General features: G+C 50.9%; 1 annotated feature.

The window, feature by feature from the left end:
- Positions 696-1,196: an enhancer, noted in NCBI's record as "H3K27ac hESC enhancer chr4:118694015-118694515 (GRCh37/hg19 assembly coordinates)". NCBI's record gives its function as "activates a minimal SCP1, AML or CMV promoter by ChIP-STARR-seq in primed H9 embryonic stem cells {active_cell/tissue: H9 hESC(primed)}" and the evidence as "EXISTENCE:reporter gene assay evidence [ECO:0000049][PMID:30033119]".

The following is a 1,512-nucleotide window of genomic DNA, read 5'->3' on the forward strand; positions in this document are numbered from 1 at the left end:
GGAGCACTTAGATCAGCCCTAGCCAAAGGGGAATCATTCCATCCCGGCAGTTGGAACCTGAGTTCTAGCTAGACTCACCACAAAGGGCTAAAGTGCTCCGGGGTTTGAAATAAATTCAAAAGGCAGTATAAGCCACGAGAATTGCAATTCCTGGGCTAGTCCTGCTGCTGTGCTGGGCTCAGAACCAGTGGATTTGGGGTGCACACAACCTAGCGAGACACCAGCTGGGGTGGCCAAGGGAGTGCTTGCATCACCCCTCCCACAACCACAGGCAGCACAGCTCATAGTTCTGGGAGAGACTCCTACTTGAGGAGAGGAAAAGGAAGTTTAAAAAGTACATTGCCTTGCAATCTGGATACCAGCTAAGCTACAGTAGAACAGGGCACTGGGTGGTGTCCTGAGACCTTATTCTGGGTTCTAGCTCCTGGACTTTTCTGGACACATCTTGGGCCAGAAGGGAACCGGCTGCCTTGAAGGGAGGGATCCAGTCCTGGCAGGATTCATCACCTGCTGACTAAAGAGTGCTTTGGGCCTTAAGTAAACATCAGAAGTACCTAGGCCATATTCAACACAGTTCTTGGGTGAGACCCAGAGCCATGTTGGCTTCAGGTGTAACCCAGCCCATTCTCAGCTGTGGTGGCCACAGACAGAGACTTCCTCAGCTTGAGGAAAGTAGAGGGAAGAGTAAAGGGGACTTGTCTTGCAGCTTGGGCACCAGCTCAGCCACAGTGGAGTAGAGAACCAAGCAGGATCCTAGAGTTCCCAGTTCTAGGCCTTGGCTCCTGGATGGCACTTCTGGACATGCTCCGAGGTAGAAGAGAAACATTGCCCTGAAGAAAGAGACCGAAGCCTGGCAGCATTCACCACAAGCTGACTGAAGAGGCCTTGGTCCTTGAGTGAACATCAGCAGTAGCCAGACAGTACTCACTGTGGGCCTTCTACACGAAGAAAGAAGAGGGAAGAGTAAGAAGAACTTTGTCAAGTGTCTTTAGTGCCAGCTTAGCCACAGTAGAATAGAGCACAGAGTAGATTCTTATGTTTCCTGACTCTAGGGCCTGGCTCCCATATGGCATTTCTGGAACAGCTCCGGGCTAGTGGGGAGCTTGCCAACTTGAAGGGAGGGACACAAGCCTATTTACCACCTGCTGCCTGAAAAACTCTTGGGCCTTGAAAGAACACCAATGGGAGCCAGTCAGTGGTCATCACAGGCCTTGGGTGAGACCCAGTGTTGTGCTGGCTTCAGTTCTCAATCAGTGCAGTCTAAGTTATGGTGGCCACAGAGGGACTTGAGTCACCTCTCCCCCAGCTTGAGGCAGCTCAGCACACAGAGAGACAGACTCTGTTTGTTTGAGGGAAATAAGGGAGAAAAAAGTTTCTGCCTGGTAATCCAGGGCATTTTCTTGGATCTTTCCCAAGACCACCAAGACACTGCTTCTACAAGTCTGCAAGAATCACAATGTTACTGGACTTGGGGTAACCACTAATGCAGATATGGCTGCAGTGACAAAGGAC

This window comes from Homo sapiens, chromosome 4 (assembly GCF_000001405.40).
Source record: "Homo sapiens chromosome 4, GRCh38.p14 Primary Assembly".
Taxonomy (NCBI): Eukaryota; Metazoa; Chordata; class Mammalia; order Primates; family Hominidae; genus Homo; species Homo sapiens.